Below are 18,665 nucleotides of genomic sequence, written 5' to 3'. Positions count from 1 at the left end.
CCTTGGTTAAGTCTATTACTAGGTATTCTTTTTGATGCTGTTGCAATTGGGATTATTTTCTTAATTTCCTTTTCAGATTGTTGTTAGTGTATATAAATGCATTTGACTTTGTATCCTGCAACTTTGCTGAATTTGTTTATTAGTGCTAACAGTTTTTTTGTGGAATCTTTAGAGCTTTCTATATGCAATGTCATGTCATCTTCCAGCAAATATAATGTTACTTTTTCCTTTTCACTTTGGATGTCTTTTATTTCTTTTTCTTGTTTCTGGCCAAAGGACATTTAACATGATCCAGGATAAAGAATCAGAAGGATGAGAATTATTCCAGATGTATCAATTCTAAATAAGAGCTACTTATTTCAAAATAATATCTAGTAGAAAACTGTTCCTTCATGTTTATTTTTTTCAGGTGAATTTAAGTATAATTTTTTCAGGATTCAACTGGCATTTTTATTGGAATTACATTAATACAGTTATTAATTCATAAGGTACTTGCTGTCTTTACCATAGTAAGTTCTTCTATTCAGAAGGGAAGTGTCTTTTGTTTTTTTCAGGTCTTTTATCTCACAGAATACTTTGTTTTCTTATTTTCCTTTTGTCATCTTTATTTCTGTCTTCTACATGTTTAACATCTTCATGACTCTCATAAGCTAACATGGTTTTCCAGAAGCATCTTGACAGATGTCATTATAATGAAATAATTACTTGCAGTATCAAACAGCTATTTAACATGAAAACTAACAACAGAGCAGATTCTGTTTTAAATGATAATTTAATAATATTAAATTAAATATTTAATATTTAAATAAAATGTAGTTTAAATAATGTTTAAATAATCATTTTAAAGATTTTAAAAGCAAGTTTAAACTTTGTATGGAGCCTATGGGTTTTAAAGCTTATTCTTAGGTACACAATTTAATTTGACATATTCTAATATGTTATTGAAGGATTTTAAAAAATTGTTTCTGCCTTTTTTTCAAGTGTTTGTTGTCCAAGAGCACAGTCATATATAGTAAATAATGAAAATTTTGTATTTCTACTGTTTATACCGCCTTATTTTTTTTTCTTTTGGGTTTCAATTGGTTATTACCTTTAGAATAATTCATTAATTCATTTATATTGAAAGAGTCTAATGTGCTAGGGAAACACACATATAAGTAAACATATAATATGTTAAGTGTGGTACATGGGGAAAAATAGAGTAAGGGGGCATAGAATTGTGACTATGGGTAGTTGCTATAATGTATATTATTATAATATCATATTATTACATAAAACGTGATATAATTGCTATAATGTAGAGACAAAAGGGTGTGGGAGAGAGAGGGAAACAGAGAGAAAGAAAGAAACAGAAGAGAAACGGGAGGCAGAGACAGACAGATTTGCCTGAGATGATACAACTAGTAAGTTGTGAAACCAAGTTTTATAATTAGATATTCTGATTTCAAAGTGCATATCCTTAATAGTGACACTGTGCTAGATATGTAGACAAGGCCAGCAGCAAAGTATGGACTTAATGTGACAGAAATAAGGGACCTTTTCAGGGTTCATCTTTAAGCTGTTATTGTTTTGATTGTTGATATAGTTTAGCTGTGTTCCCACCCAAATCTCATTTTGAGTCATTCCCATAATCCCCACATGTTATGGGAGGGACTTTGTGGGAGGTAATTGCATCATGGGGGGCAGTTACCCCCTGCTGCTGTTCTCGTGATAGTGAGTTCTCATGAGATCTGATGGTTTTATAAGTGGCTTTTCCCCCTTTTGCCCATACTTCTTCCACCTGCCACCATGTGAAGAAGGATGTGTTTGCTTCCCCCTCTGCCATGATTGTAAGTTTACTGAGCCCTCCCCAGCCATGCCACACTGTGAGTCAGTTAAACCCTTTTCCTTTATAAATTACCCAGTCTTTGGTAGGTCTTTATTAGCAGCACGAGAATGGACTAGTACAGTAAATTGGTACCAGGAGTGGGGTGCTGCTGTAAAGATACCTGAAAATCTGGAAGCAACTTTGGAATTGGGTAACAGGCAGAGGTTGGAACAGTTTGGAGGGCTCAGAAGAAGAAAAGAAAATGTGGAAAAGTTTGGAAGTTCCGAGAGACTTGTAGGGCTCAGAAGACAGAAAGATGTGGGAACATTTGGAACTTTCTAGAAACATGTTGAATGGCTTTGATCAAAATGCTGATAGTGATATGGACAATAAAGTCCAGACTGAGGTGCTGTCAGATGGAGATGAGGAACCTGTTGGGAACTAGAGCAGAAGTGACTCTTGTTAGGCTTTAGCAAAGAGAGTGGCGGCATTTTGCCCCTGCCCTAGAGATCTATGGAGCTTTGAACTTGAGAGAGATGATTAGGGTATCTGGTGGAAGAAATTTCTAAGGAGCCAAGCGTTCAAGAGGAAGCAGAGCATAAAAGTTTGGAAAATTTGCAGCCCAACAATGCGATAGAAAAGAAAACCTCATTTTCCTCAGGAGAAATTCAAACCTGCTGCAGAAATTTACATAAGTAACAAGGAGCCAAATGTTAATCACTAAGACAAGGGGAACATGTCTCCAGGGCATTTCAGAGACTTTTGCAGCAACCCCTCCCATCACAGCCCTGGAGGCTTAGGAGGAAAAAATGGTACTGTGGGCCAGGCCCAGGGCTCCCCCTGCTGTGTGCAGCCTAGGGACTTGGTGCTCTGCATCCTAGCCGCTCCAGCCGTGGCTAAAAGGGGCCAACGTATAGCTCAGGCCATTGCCTCAGAGGGTGCAAGCCCCAAGCCTGGCAGCTTCCACGTGGTATTGAGCTCACAGGTGCACAGAAACCAAGAACTGAGGTTTGAGAACCTCTGGCTAGATTTCCAAGGATATATGGAAATACCTGGATGTCCAGACAGAAGTTTGCTGCAAGGGTGGAGCCCTCGTGGTTCTGCTAGGGCAGTGCAGAAGGGAAACATGGGGTTGGAGCCCCCACACAGAGTTCCCACTGCAGCACTGCCTAGTGGAACTGTGAGAAGGTGGTCACTGTCCTCTGGATCTCAGAATGGTAGATCCACTGACAGCTTGCACTGTGTGCCTGGAAAAGCTGGAGACACTTAATACCAGCCTGTGAAAGCAGCCAGGAGGGGAGCTGTACCCTGCAAAGCTACAGGGTTGGAGCTGCCCAAGGCCATGGGAGTCCACCTCTTGTTATCAGCATGACCTGGATGTGAGACATGGAGTCAAAAGAGGTCATTTTGGAACTTTAAGATTTAATGACTACCCTGTTGGTAGTCATTAAACTTTAAGATTTAATGACTATCCTGTTGGATTTCAGACTTGCAAGGGGCCTGTAGTCCCTTTGTTTTGGCCAGTTTCTCCCATTGGAACAGCTGTATTTACCCAATGCCTGTACCACCACTGTATCTAGAGAGTAACTCACTTGCTTTTGATTTTACAGGCTCATAGGTAGAAGGGACTTGCCTTGTCTCAGATGAGACTTTGGACTTGGACTTTTGGGTTGATGCTGGAGTGAACTAAGACTTTGGGGGACTGTTGGAAAGACATGATTGTGACTTGAAATGTGAGGACATGAGATTTGGGAGGGGCCAGGAGTGGAATGATGTAGTTTGGTTGTGTCACCACGCATGTCTCATCTTGAATTGTAGTTCCCATAATCCCCATGGGTTGTGGGAGGACCCAGTGGGAGGTAATTGAATCATGGGGGCAGTTACCCTCTGCTGCTCTACTCGTGATAGGAGGCCTATCTTTATAATGTATTTCTCATGAGCCTTGAACAAAGTTCTTTAAATCCTTTGGATTATTAATGTATTAAACTCTACTTTTTTCTTACCCAAATCTACATTTTTTATTTACCTTTAAAAATCGAGTATGTGGAATTTTTCTTTGAATTTTTTTCCCACAAAAATGTTGAATTTAATTTGACCATTCTCACAATCACATAGAGTTGACTTAATAGTACAAAATGATACACTTTGGATCAGTAGTATTTCATGGGAAGGCTGCAGTTGAAAACCTAAAGCCACTAATACATTCTATTAGAAATAAAAGGAATAATATGTAGGCAATTAATTATATAAAACATGCTAACAATTGGATGAAATTAAACCAAAAGCTGATATTCTGGATTTACAGTCATCATAGAAAGGAATTATGTGGTGCTGTAGATTGATTCAGTCAACAGTTCTTTATTGATCACATCTTTGGTACTAGGGGTACAAAGATGATGAAGACATAATGCTATCCTAGAGGACTTTGTATTCTAGTGAAGGCAAAGACATGCAGACATCAGTGTAATATAATAAAAGTGCTCAATACAAAGATCACTGTAGAAGTTATGATGCTTATAGTTATCTGTAACAGAAACCCCAGCTGAAGTGGCTTAAACAATACACAGAGTTTATTGGTCATGTACAGGTATATCTGAAAATTACAGAGACAGGTGAGGCTTGCTGTAATAGCTCAGTATGCTTCCTTTTACCTGTTTCTCCTCAATGCTTTCCACATGTTAACTTTATCCTAAGGCTGACTCCCTTTGAGGTTGTATCATGACTACTAATAACTCTCAGGGCTACCCCCAGAAAGAGAGCTTTTGTCTTCCAACCATCAGACTAAAGTCTTGGGTTCACTCTGACTAGATCAACTTTTACTGTATGCAACTCTTTCACTAGATTGACTAAAAGTATAATTTTGGGTTGAGTGAGAAACTAAAAGTCCAGAACTTCCAAAGTACCTAGTATACCTATAAAAATTGGTGTTAGTCTTATTTTGGCTTTATTATTCCTAATTTTGTTTTCTTCTAATATACAGAAAATCAGGAATCCTCAATGGTGGGAAGTAAATTGATAAGATCATAGTTCAATAATCTTCCAAATTTTTGAAAGCCTAAAAATTATGTCTTTGGAGATTTGTGATTTTGTGCTCATATCAACGCAGAAATTAAGAACCCAACATAACAACTGTCTCTTCTCCATTATTTCTTTCCTTGTAACTGGGACAGTAAGGTGGATTTTGATATTGGGTTCACATGGTTCATGGTTGGGCTGTTTCAAGTCTCAATTACATTTGCAGTAGCAAAATGCCAAGGCCAGAAATGTCAGGGCTTACCACAATGACCTTATACTTATGATTTGAGCAGTAATTGGGGAAGCCTTCTGTTTTTTACTTTGCTACTAATTTACATTTAATCAGGCTATTCATAGTATATAATACTTTAAAAGCTGAATTAGTAATACAAAGCTACTTTTCTTTCAGAGTAAGCACTTCCATTTGTTCTCTTTCTGCATAGTCTCTGGTTCACCACATTTGCATTCACTGCAGTTCTGTTTCTCTCCATGACAAGTGTTCATTCAGGAGCCACAGCATGTGACACTGCTATAGGATTGCCAGATCTTATTTTAGAGAATTTGGACAAGGAGGCAGTAGGAGAGAGATTATTTGCTAATAGTCTGACCAGGCTAAAATACAGTCCCATTCTGCATTATAACACAGTTGGAACAAGGCACTCAAATACAGGATAAGCCTGTGAATGTGGGCCATCTGGTAATCCAGTACTGCTTGAGTGTAGGCCTCTCAGCTCTACAAACAGCCTGTGGAGATAAATTTGACACACTTGGTGTATAAGGGTTCCTGCCCTAACTTAGAAAAGAATTACTTCTTTGTGCTAAAATTATATTAAATGTTACTTGGAAATAAAGGAAAAAGTAATTTACATTTCCTATTGATGGATTATACCGATGATTATGTCCAAGGCATAATAATAATAGCAAATACTTGTATAAAGCATACTCCATGCCAGGCACTGTTCTAAGCATTTTACATGTATTGGTTCATTTAACCCTTACAACATTCCTATGAGATAGGCTATTATTATTTTACTGAGGATGGAATTGGCACAGAGAAGTCAAATAATTTACCCAAACTCACACCGCTTAGTGTGGAACAGAGTTAGGATTTTAATCCAGAAAGTCTGGGACCAGAGTTCATGCTTTTAAGCACTATGCTATATTTTCTCTCAAGTCAGGACTGAAATTGTCATTAAAAGTAATACCATTAACTTATTGGCTATGTTTTATTTATAACTCATTAATTATGTTATACTTATTAATACGTATAATTATTTTATTGTGTTTTGAAATAAATGAGCATTTTGAAACTTACCTCTAAATATTCAACATGCTTGTTTTTTATTCCAGGAGAAGACTTTGCAGTTGTGCAGCAAGAAATTATTATGATGAAAGACTGTAAACACCCAAATATTGTTGCTTATTTTGGAAGCTATCTCAGGTATACTGTTTGTTTCCCTTTTGAAAAGCAATAATGATTTCATCACCTAATGCATTAAACAAAATAAAGTTAGTTTTAATACCATGTTTTGTAGTTTTTCTTCATGCTTTGAAGATAGGATATTTTCATACCAATGGAATTTTTACTTAGGACCTATGTTAATTCTGTAACCAATATTGCAGTCGTATGACTTGGGAATTCTAGATGTGCTTTTAGTGAAAATGCTGGCAAGTAAAAACCTTACGGTTAGTCTTCCAGTGGTGGACTAGCGATCTAAATATGCCATTCTCTTGCCCCTTTCTTCTGGACTTAGGTCAGTGTAGAGTCAGGAGCATCTCTTCCAGCTATGTGTTTATCAAAAACTTTTTTTTAATTTTGTGCTTCTGGTCTAAGAGTACTATATTACTTTATCCCTTTCCTTCATTGTATCCAAAGAACTAGGAACTATAATCATCTCAGTAACTTATTTTTCCAGGTCCTAAAGTGAACTTAGGACTGTGAATTTCCTTTCTCTTACTTTGTTTTGGTAGCCAGACCCAAGCCAGGTTCTTAGGTTATATTGCATAGGCGATCACCTTAGGGTCAAATCTTGTTTTCCATTCACTTCTACATGCAGCTGTGAGTTGATCACTGGTGACCTAGTTGTTTTTAAGCTTCCTCCAAGGGAAGATTAGAGAATATTTTACTATTTTTTTCCTTTCTTTCTTTTGTGGGGGCGGGACAGAGTCTCACTCTGTCACCCGGGCTGGAGTGCTGTGGTGTGATCATGGCTCACTGCAGCCTTGACCTCCCTAGGCTCAGGTGATCCTCCCACCTCAGCCTCATGAATAGCTGGGACCACAGGTACGTACCACCATGCCCAGCCTTTTTTTTTTTTTTTTTTTTTTTTGAGGTGGAGTCTTGCTCTGTCACTAGGCTGGAGTGCAGTGGTGTGATCTCGGCTCACCGCACCTTCCACCTCCCGGGTTCAAGTGATTCCCCTGCCTCAGCCTCCTGAGTACCTGGGACTGCAGCCACGTGGCACCACGCCCAGCTAATTTTTTGTGTTTTAGTAGATGGGGTTTCATCATGTTGGCCACGATGGTCTTGATCTCCTGACCTCGTGATCTGCCTGCCTCAGCCTCCCATAGTGCCGGGATTACAGGCGTGAGCCTCCGCACCTGGCCTAATTTTTGTATTTTTTATAGAGACGGGGATCTCACTATGTTGCCCAGGCTGGTCTCAAATTCCTGAGCTCAAATGATCCAAAATGCTGAAATTACAGGTGTGAGTCATCCTGCCTGGCCTTCCCTATGTATTAAAAAAACTCTTCAGTTTTTCTTCAGCATACTTTAGCAACATCCAACATACTGTAACTTATTGCAGGTTCCCATTTTCATATGATCCAGGTACAAAACACTTTTTCTCTTCTCTTTTGGGCACAACAGAAAAGACTAGGGTATTCTGCCCTGTCATCTTTCTAGCTTTTGAAAAACCAACTGGACCTGCTGTTCATGGTTGTAACCACTCTTGTACAGCTTTGATTGCCCCACCTTGGTTAAGGTAGAGGTGTGGGAGTTTTTTTGTTTTTTTTTTGTTTGTTTGTTTGAGACAGAGTCTCACTCTGTTGCCCAGGCTGGAGTGCAGTGGCATGATCTCAGCTCAGTGCAACCTCCCGGACTGGAGTGCAGTGGCGTGATATCGGCTCACTGCAACCTCCACTTCCCGGGTTCAAGAGATTCTCCTGCCTCAGCTTCCCAAGTAGCTAGGACGATAGGCACACGCCACCACACACAGCTAAATTATTTATTTATTTATTTATTTTTTGAGATGGAATCTCAGTCTGTCACCCAGGCTGGAGTGCAGTGGCGCGATCTCAGCTCACTGCAAGCTCCACCTCCCGGGTTCAAGCCATTCTCCTGCCTCACCTTCCGAGTAGCTGGGACTACAGGCTCCTGCCACCACACCCGGCTAATTTTTTTGTATTTTTAGTAGAGACGGGGTTTCACAGTGTTAGCCAGGATGATCTCGATCTCCTGACCTCGTGATCCACCCACCTCAGCCTCCCAAAGTGCTGGGATTACACGCGTGAGCCACTGTGCCTGGCCTTTTTTTGTATTTTTAGTAGAGACGGTGTTTCACCATGTTAGCCAGGATGGTGGCTAACCTGTTATTCCAGGATAACCCCACTCATTTATGTGGCACCCTTGGTATGGTAAAATGAGCATGATCTTTTTGCCAGAGACAAATCGTATCTTTGGTAGTTAAGAGGTTAAGTTCTGGAGACAGATTGTCTGGTCTGAGACCTGGTTCTATCACTTATTAATCAATTATTTAACCAGTTTGTGCCTCTGTTTCCTCATCTATAAAACAGATGATAATAATATCTACATGACAGGATAGGTGTGAGTACTTCCTGGGTAACTACGTGTGAAATACTAAGAACAGTGCTTAGAATGTAATAAATGCTCAATAGGTATTTGCCGCTGCTACTACTACTATTGCTGCTGCTGCTGCTGCTGCTGCTGCTGCTACTACTACTACTTCTTAACTTTTTAAAAGTATCATTATTTTAGTGCCTCATTTGGTCTTTCAGCAACCTGGATAGCAGTATAGCTGTGGTAGAAATTATTTCCATTTTACAAATAAGATTCTTGAGAGAATTTAACATCTAAGTTTTTTATTTTATGATTTTGCTTCATTCCAAATACAAAAAGCAAAATTACCCAGAAACCAAAGTAAAACAGACAAAAGTAGGATCATTTTTTTCAGTAAAACTATGTTCTTTTTAGTGTTGTACAATCTAATATTAAGAAACACTGATTTAAATATATTATTTTATTCTGTAAATGGGTATAGCTGATCAAAGTGATTTGAAGGTAAATGGTAGTATAATGTAGGATAGCAATTAATTTTATCTCTCTCTTGCTCTTTTCTTCTGTAGAGATTCTTCCCTTATTCCCTAATTGAAGTTCAGGCTCAGCCAAGGTTGGAGTAGGGAATCCTAATGATTAGACTTGTAGGATGTTAGAGCTGTAAGGGGCTAAGAGATGTTGTCATATAGCCCATTCTTGGTTATAGATGAGAAAATGAAGTGGGGTATAAATGACTTACTTAGTCTATCCAACGTCTCATTAGTGGCACTGGGATTTAATCCTGGCTTTACAAGTAGCTAGTCTGATGTCTTTTTTGGCATACTGTATTGCTTAGCCCAGAAAGGCCAGATTTAGTCTCAGAGGGAACGTGATTTCTTGAATTCTTTCTCATTACTGAATGACTTTACAAAGGAGGATCTTGTTTGAACTTGATAGAAACCCCGTAAAATATATACTGTTCATTGCAACATTCTTCCTTCTATGTTGTTGCTATTACAACCTGTATAACAAATTTAGACAAAAAGTTAAGAAAACTGAGCAAATGTAGTTTGACCATTGATAAATTTCCCCCTCAGAGAATCAGATTTACCCTATGAATTTTCTTAGTAGATGACTAGCATATAATTAAGTTTCAGAAGTCCATTTTATATCAGGGTAGCTGTGCTCGCTTATGAAGAAATACTGAAACTGAGCTTCTATAAAGCAGAATACCTGGCATTCTTCTTAACAAGACCTTTCCTACTCCACTGTTCAATATCATTAATATACCTACAATAAAAGTAGATAGACAAAGCATTAACATTTAAAAATTTTAAATAGTCCCGGTTTGGTATGTATTTGTATCTGAATATATATGTTTGTGTATTTATAAAACAACAGAATTAAATCATTATAGACTTATTCTTTACAATTCTTTTGGAGCTTAACTATTACTTCTTTTAAACTAAAGATGAGTTTAAATTAATTTCAGGTTCCTTCTAAGCATTCCTTAGCCCAGCATATCACTTAAGAATAAGTTAAGAAAATGGAGACATTCCTCTCAAGCTTGAACTCAATAAAGCTTAGGGGGAAAAACAATAAATGCTCATTTATTTATTTTTTTTGATACAGAGTCTGGCTCTGTCGCCCAGGCTGCTGTGCAGTGGCAGGACCTTGGCTCACTGCAACCTCCACCTCCCGAGTTCTAGAGATTCTTCTGTCTCAGCCTCCCGAGTAGCTGGGATTACGGGCGCACGCTACCACACCCAGCTAATTTTTGTATTTTTAGTAGAGATGGGGTCTCACCATATTGGCCAGGCTGGTCTTTAACTCCTGACCTTGTGAGCCACCACGCCTGGCCAACAAATGCTCCTTAAACAATAAGCCAGTAGAAGATTTGATCCATACAGTAAAAACTATTTAGAATAGATATTTTAAACTTTTGGGCTGGGTGCGGTGGCTCATGCCTGTAATCCCAGCAATTTGGGAGGCTGAGGCAGGTGGATCATCTGAGGTCAGGAGTTTGAGATTAGCCTGGCCAACGTGGCAAAACTCCCATCTCTATTAAAAATACAAAAAATTAGCTGGGCATGGTGGCACATGCCTGTAGTCCCAGCTACTAGGGAGGCTGAAGCAGGAGAATCACTTGAACCCAAGAGGCAGAGGTTGCAGTGAGCCAAGATCACTCCACTACACTCCAGCCTGAGTGACAGAGCGAGACTCTGTCTCAAAACTAAAGTAAAATAAATAAACCTTTGAAGTACAGAGTACTAGTTTAGATGAGCATACTTTACCTCATAACAACTTAAATAAGTAAATCACCACCATTTACAAAGTGTTTATACATTATTTCTTAGCATGTAGAGTGCAGTGTTGATTTCCACAGAAAGATATCTAAAACCTAATCCTTCCCTTTAAGGAGCTTATAATCTAACAGGAGAAGTAGGCATGAGCAAATAATCGTAACATAATATGCTAGATGCAGTAATAATTTAGAAGTAAGGCACAGAAGTGCTAAGGATGATAGACTCTCTGATTTTTGTCAATGTAGGGGAATCAGAGAAAGCTCTGTGAATGATGTAATTCCCAAATATTGGGTGTTAAAAGATTGGTAGATATTTATGTGTATAGAAAATTGGAATTTTTGGCAAAGGGAACACATGCATGAAAAACTGTGACATATTCAGGAGACAGCTACTGGTCTCACATTAGAGCCTGAGAGGGAAAAGGGGGTACATAGTTACTTCTCAGTATGTGCAGAGATTGGTTCCGGAACCCCAGTGGATACCAAAACCCATGAATGCTCAAGTCCCTTATATAAAGTGGCATAGCTATGCACATCCTCCAGTTTAAAATTATCTCTAGGTGACATATGATACCTAACACAGTGTAAATGCTATGTAAATAGTGTAATACTTTATTAATTTGTGTTATTTTTATTGTTGTATTATTTTTATTTTTTCCCCTCTGAAAATTTTCAGTCTCCGGTTAGGTGAACCTGCGATTGGTTGAACCCCACAGGTGCTGGACCTGTGGCCTCCAGAGGGCCACGTGTAGTTGGAGTAGATAAGGTTGTGGAGATATGGGCAAAAATGAATCTTTTATCCCTTAATTAGGACCTAAGGGACTGAGCATACTTGCTGAAAGATTTTAACAGAGTTAGTATATTCTGTGGAGGATGGACCTAGGGTGGAGGGGATTAAAAGAGGCAATTTAGTTAAACTAATTATGGTGTATTTATTACAGTAATCCAGGAAAGAGATGTTGGTCTCTTGAGTTATATAAAACTGGGAAAAAATTTTTTCTAGAGCCAGAGACAGTGCTAAGAAGGGAAACAACTGGATCTTAACTCGAAATACATTTATGAATATCTTTTTGAATACTTAGAATATGAGAATAAAGATTACAGTTAAGTCACTTTATACCCAGCTACTCTTGCTTTTAAAAAAGGGAACTTTCTAGTTTAGGAATATTTTACATTTACGAAAAGTTGCAAATAGTACAGAGTTCTCTGTATTTCCTTCACTCAGCTTTCTCTGATGTTTACATCTTAACGCAGCCATGGCACACTTTTCACAACTACGATATTAACATTGGTGCGATACTATTAGCTAAACTCAGTATACTTATTTGGATTTTATCAGTTTTCTGTTCATGTCTTTCTCTTTTCTGTTTTTGAGAGGAATTAGGAATATATCTGAAAGTTGATGTTAATTTGTTATTTGTTTAAGCCAGGGTTTCTCACCTTTGGCATTATCAACACTTAAGGCCAGATACTTTTTTGTTGTGGGAGATAGTCCTGCGCATTGTAAGATAGTTGTTAATATTAGTACCCCTGTCCTCTGTTAGTTACCAGTAGCACCCTTTCCCCTAGTTGTGACAACCAAAAATGTATCCAGGCTTTGCCAAATGTTCCTTGGGGGACACAGTCACTCCCAGTTAAGAACTACTACTCTAAGCAAAAAAACTTTGGTGAAGTTACAGATACGTTCCTTTACCAGTATTGCTAGGATATTTTCTATAGATCATTAGTTCTGAGGGATACAAATATGTATTTTGTAAAAAAATGGGTGTATTGAAAAAATAATCTGGGTAAATAGTAAATTAAACAGAATTAGAAGTTTTATTTCTTCTTTTTCTTTCTCCTCCATCTCCTCCCCCTCTCAACTTTTCCCATCCCCCTTCTCCTCTTTTTTCGCTTCCTCCACCTCTTCCCACTTTATCTTCTTTCTGGTACCCTTCATCCTTCCATTTTGTTACCTCTCCCTTCTCTTCCCTTCTCCCTCCTCTGTCTCTCCAACCGCCTTCTCACTACAGGATTTCTCAGAGCCTTTAATATACCAGTGGCCTTGCTAATTTTCAAGAAAAGACTATGTGATATTTTTAAAAACTGATTTAACTATACGGTGGTTTCTTTCTGGAAGCATACTTCATGTAGGATTGATGTTCAGTGGCCCACCCTTTGGAAATATTATGCTGAACACTGGGGGATTATTAGGTATAATTATAGAGAAATAGATCAGCTTGTATCCCCCTGAGTACAGCATCCTTACCCCTCCTTATTAAAGGGAAAGCAGATGGTATAGGTTACCTATAAATAAATTTGGAATGCAATTATTTTTCCTTATTAGTAATTTTTAAATCAACCAAAAAAGTTTAAAAATTTTCTTCACGTTAAATAAGTTATTTATATTAAAACATCTAGCAGTTACTAAACTTTGTTTTTCTCATTGATGATTAAGGTTGAATTATTTTGCTGAATATAGTGGAATAGCCATTGCTTTGGTCAGCAAGACAACAACTCACAGTACAGTACAGGAATCAGGGGACTGCAGTGTACAGGATAGCTAGCCATCCTCTCCCAGGGAGGAAGACTCCGTATGCCAACTTCAGGCAGATATTAGAGAGTTGCTGATCCTCAGTAGTCTTGGTCACATTTTATTTTGCTGTTTAAATTATGCTATATTTGAGAAAAATATATAAATAATTATACTTAGTTTGGTCAGTTTTAAGTCTGTGATGTGTTACAAAATGTGGGAAGATTAAAAAGTGTGTTTTAGGAATTATAAGAATTTCAGAACCATAAAATAGCTATTAGAATTTTGGTCCCTGTATGCTCTGGTAGACATCAAAATAGTTAACTTTTCCCCCTCTACTTAATTTTCTGTTTCTTATAAGATAAATAATTTTACAAAATGAGAAAAAAGAATTCTGAGGATTTGTTGAATCAGGATGTTAATACTGATACATTGAATATTTACTTCAGTGGTTAATTTTATTTCAATTCAGATACCTAGGGACAAAGATTTTATAATTGACCTGCATAAAATGGGCTGATTGACTGAAGTCCTTTCCTATTAGGCATATGGCTTAGTGAATGACCAAAAGCAAATGTAGATTTGTCATTATAAGAAAGATATTCATGGGACAGATGAAAGTCATTTCTCTAATAGACTATGACTACTCAAGCTTTTGGATAATACTAGACTTTAACTAAATAGAATATTATAAAAGTAAAGTATTTTAGGCATCTTAAAAAGTAAAGTATTACTATATAGTCGTGATTTTTTTTTCTGCCTATAAGCTGGAAAGTCATTTTACATAGGATGAATAGAAAATTGTATATTTAAGCAAAGGAAGAAAAGAGAATAGACCAACTTCAAGTAGAAGGTAGTGTCATATTGAAATATATAAAAAGCGAGAACTCATTTCCTGCATTCATTTTCTCTAGCAAGGAAAATTGTTTTCAAACTGGAAGGGGTAGGAAAAACACTATTAAGATGGAATTGAAACACAAGATGGTGAGTAGATAATTATAGAGCAGCTAGACACCTTAAATTTTTAGAAACTTTTAGATTTATGTAAATTATATCTCATATTGAAAGTTCAGCAAATGTGATGGTAGTCCATTATCAATGAGTATTGACAAACAGAAGAGGTATCAGAGATTAGAGATCAACAATGAACAGTTTGTAAATGAAGGGAGAAGTTGGTTTCCAGAAAATACAGACTATTAAAGTTGATATCACTCATTGATCACTAGCAAAGCTCTAGGATAAATTTCTAATCAGATAATTAATGACCACTTATAAGAAAGAAGTTGTGATTAACATGACTTTAGTAAGAATATATGCCTGATCAATCCCATCTCTCTTTTTTCCTTAAAAAAGAAAAAAATTTATTTATTTATTTATAGTTTCACCGAGTTCCAGGAGCAATTTAAGATGACTTAAACATCTTTAAGTTAATTTACAAGTTAATTTAAGTTATACTACACTACACTACAAGTTAATTTAAGTTACACTACACTTAAATTAAGATGACTTGTACACTACAATATAAATTATAACAAAAGGAGTAGAAAACAACTTACATTTATTGTGCTATATTCCAGGTCCTTTACTAAGCAGTTTACATGTTATTCTGTTAATTCTAAGCAGACCCCAGAACAGTCATTCAACCTGTTTTTTGTAAGCTGTGTGAAGTCCTAGTTGCTTGCATCTTAAGAACTCTAGGCTGGCATTTAACATGAAAGATTCACTTGTGGCAGATGTGAAGATATTTTAGAGCTATGGTTCTCAAAACATTTTGGTAATAGAACCCCTTTATTTTATACTCTTAAAAATTGCTGAGTACCGCAAGAGAGCTTTTGTTTTATATGAATTATATCTATTGATATTTACCATATTAGAAATTAAAGCTGAGACATTTTTAAAACTCAAGAATACAACATAAGCTCGTATTCCAGTAGCTGTCAGGGATGACGTCATTTTCACACTTCATGTAGTCTCTGGAAAACTCCATTGTACTCTCATGAGAGAAAGAGAATGTAAAGAGCAGATAATTTCTTAGTGTTATTAAAATGGTTTTGACCTTGGTGGCCCTCTGAAAATGTCTCAGGGACTCTCATGGGACCTCCAGATCACACTTTGAGAACCACTCACTCTTTTAGAGGAAGGATTCAACTAACCTATAGAGATCAGGTTATGGAATCCTGCATTCTAGATATATCCAAATTGGAGCCTAAGCAGCATTCCAAATATTGTTGACTTGCCAGAGCCTTTATATCTCAGGCAGAGGCAGAGAAGTGCCAAATGGTAATTCTAAGTAATCTGCATAGAGTGTCTTTCATGTTTTAAAATATTTGTAATATTACTTAAGCTCATTAGTAAACCCACTAGTGCAGATTAAAATAGTTTATAAGCCAAGTTCTTACAATTGCTGCTTCTGGAGGGTGGACTCCTGATTTAGGTTCGTTCAGATGCTAACCAACTGCTTCTGGATTGTGGGGGTTGGGAGCAGGAGTGGAGAGGTGTATTTCCAATTAGGATACTTTAAAAAGTTAGCTCACTGCCCCAAGGGTGTGGATTAAACCTAATGCAATGTGTGTGATGCTTTCTTTGCCGAAGCATTTTAAAGTGATATGCTGGGAGAGCTAATAAGACACCTGTCAAAAACAAAGGGAAATGAATCAAAACTACTATTTTTTTTTAAGTATAAGATTTAACAAATAAGAAAAAAGTCCTATGCTTAGTGTCATTGAACCAGGTAGACAAATATGAAGCTGGAGAGAGAACTGGTCTGCCTTTTGTTTTATAAAGATCCAGAGGTTTTGATTAACTACAAACAGTAAACTAGCAGTTTAATGTAGTTGCTGAGAAGTTAACGATAGCTTTCAGCTAACTTAATAGAAATACAGTGATCAAATAAAGGAGATAGTGGTTACATTCTCTGGGGGATTAGAAAGACCACACATCTGCCAGTCTCAGACATCTATTCTGAAAGTTCTTAATACCAGGCCACTGGGCAGCTGGCACATATTTATATAATTTATAGCTATTGGTATTTACCATATTAGAAATTAAAACAAATTTTTATATCAGCTGTATGCTTCAATTTCATTGTTATGTGAACCACCTATGAATTGCAGATCCTGGATGGCTTCAGATTTATTTTGGGCTTCACTCTTTTTTTTTTTTTTTTTTTTTTTTTTTGAGACAGAGTCTAGCTCTGTCACTCAGGCTGGAGTGCAGTGGAACGATCTCTGCTCACTGCAAGCTCCGCCTCCCGGGTTCATGCCATTCTCCTGCCTCAGTCTCCCGAGTAGCTGGGACTACAGGCACCCACCACCACGCCTGGCTAATTTCTTCTTGTATTTTTAGTAGAGACGTGGTTTCACCGTGTTAGCCAGGATGGTCTCGATCTCCTGACCTCGTGATCCGCCCGCCTCGGCCTCCCAAAGTGCTGGAATTACAGGCGTGAGCCACTGCATCTGGCCCACTCTTTTTAGCATTATTTTCTAGAATCATGATACCTTGCTACTTCATACTCTTAAGTTGGTTGACCTTTGCGCTCTGATAGCTTGTGCTTTCTTTTTGTATGCTACCTTGTCCACTACGGTCAAGTCAGCTCACCTCTTAGGTCCAGCTAATTCTGCTACTACCCAACCATATGTGACCTATGGCTGATAAAAGCATCTCTGCTTTTTTGTTTTCTTTAAGATTCAGATCTCGGTCTGTCACCCAGGCCAGAGTGTGGTAGCACTATCATAGATCACTATAACTTCGAACTCCTGGGCTCAAATAATACGCCCCGCCCCGCCCTGCACCTTCCCCCCGACCCCCTGCACCCTGCCTCAGCCTCCTGAGTAGGTGAGACTACAGGTATGCACCACTTCTCCTGGCTAACTTTTTTTGTTTGTTTTTTAAGAGATGAGAGTCTCACTGTGTTGCCCAGGCTGGTCTCAAACTGTTGGCCTCAAGAAATCCTCTTCCCTCAGACTCCTGTGTTACTGAGATTACAGGTGTGAGCCACTGGGCCTGGCTCAGCATCTCCACTTTTTAATGTATTGTTCATGTAACACTCAGAATCTTAGTACTTGATTTTTTGGGTGCCACATTTTAAGAGACACAAGGACTGACTAGAGATTATCTACAGGAAGGTAACTAAACTGAGAAGCTAGTAAACATAGGATTGTTTCACAGTGTGACCCAGCCTATTCTGGGTTTATTTCCTGCTACTGTCTCTTCAGGCAGTCTTTCTTCAACTCCCACTAAATCACCCACAGTCTCCCACATGTGCATTTCTTTCAAGTTTTCATTCTTTTGCACAGGTCCCTTTCCTGTCTCTCCCTGGTAAATTTCTACTTTAATTTCAAGACCCAATTTAAATGTTTTCTCCTCCCTAAAACTTTCCATTCATTTTCCTAGGTATTTTCATCTCTGGGTTCCCACAGTACTTTATACATGCCTGGATTATGCATTCATCAAATTATGATCTAACCCAAGTGAGCAGACTTTTTCTATAAAGGGATACATAGTAAATATTTTAGGCTTTGTGGGCTACATGGTCTCTGTCACCACGACTAAGCTCTTCTGTTCTAGCGTGAAAGCAGCCATACAGTATAGAAATAAATGAGTATGACTGTGTTCCAATGAAACTATTTATTGGCACTAAAATTTGAATTTCATACAATCATCATATGTCAAGAAATATTTTTGTTATTTTCTCAACCATTTTATTTATTAATTGTAGTTACAAGTAACAACCATTCCCAGCCATTTTAAAATAGGAAAACGATTCATAGTTGCAGAGGTGTACAAAATCAGGCAGCAGGCTAGATTTGGTCCGCTGGCCATATTTTCCTGACCTCAATCTAATTCGATATGTTTATTCTTTCAGTCACTCATGCAATCATTCATTTATGGAACAAATATTATTTGCTGGATATTCTTCTAGACACTAAGAAGGCAGTGGTGAGAGAGACAGACATATATTAAGGTAGAATCTTTCTTCTGCATTAGAGCTTGCTGAGTTCAGGGATTTTCTGTCCCATCTCTGTACCATGAATGGTACATTTCCTGGTACATTTTTAAGAGATTAAATAATGAATGACTGAACAAAGGAATGACCTATATAAATCACAGCTGATTATTTCTCCTATGACTATATGATTACAACAGCTTATAATTTGAGTATGAGAGAGAAGTGCTATCTAAAGAGAAGTGAGTGATAAATTTTAAGACTGTTTTGGGAAAATCACTGTTGAATCTAGATATGAAGCTAACAT

At 37.7% G+C, this 18,665-nt stretch overlaps 1 protein-coding gene across 5 annotated transcripts in view, besides 1 other annotated feature; it reads left to right on the top strand.

Moving 5' to 3' along the window:
* Positions 1 to 18,665, top strand: part of MAP4K3 (mitogen-activated protein kinase kinase kinase kinase 3) — a 188,020-nt gene that overhangs the window by 74,774 nt on the left and 94,581 nt on the right. For all 5 annotated transcript variants that reach the window (NM_001410753.1, XM_047446092.1, NM_001270425.2 and 2 more), the window contains one exon: positions 6,173 to 6,263. In NM_001410753.1, coding sequence (NP_001397682.1) covers positions 6,208 to 6,263 — 56 coding nt within the window. In that variant the 5' untranslated portion in view covers positions 6,173 to 6,207. The remainder of the gene's footprint in view (positions 1 to 6,172; positions 6,264 to 18,665) is intronic.
* Positions 6,777 to 6,977: a silencer, noted in NCBI's record as "peak3671 fragment used in MPRA reporter construct". NCBI's record gives its function as "represses an SCP1 promoter by STARR-seq MPRAs in K562 erythroleukemia cells {active_cell/tissue: K562}" and the evidence as "EXISTENCE:reporter gene assay evidence [ECO:0000049][PMID:32103011]".

This window comes from Homo sapiens, chromosome 2, assembly GCF_000001405.40.
Source record: "Homo sapiens chromosome 2, GRCh38.p14 Primary Assembly".
NCBI lineage: Eukaryota > Metazoa > Chordata > Mammalia > Primates > Hominidae > Homo > Homo sapiens.
Note: the sequence above shows the minus strand (reverse complement) of the source record. Positions and strands in the feature narration are given on the sequence as shown.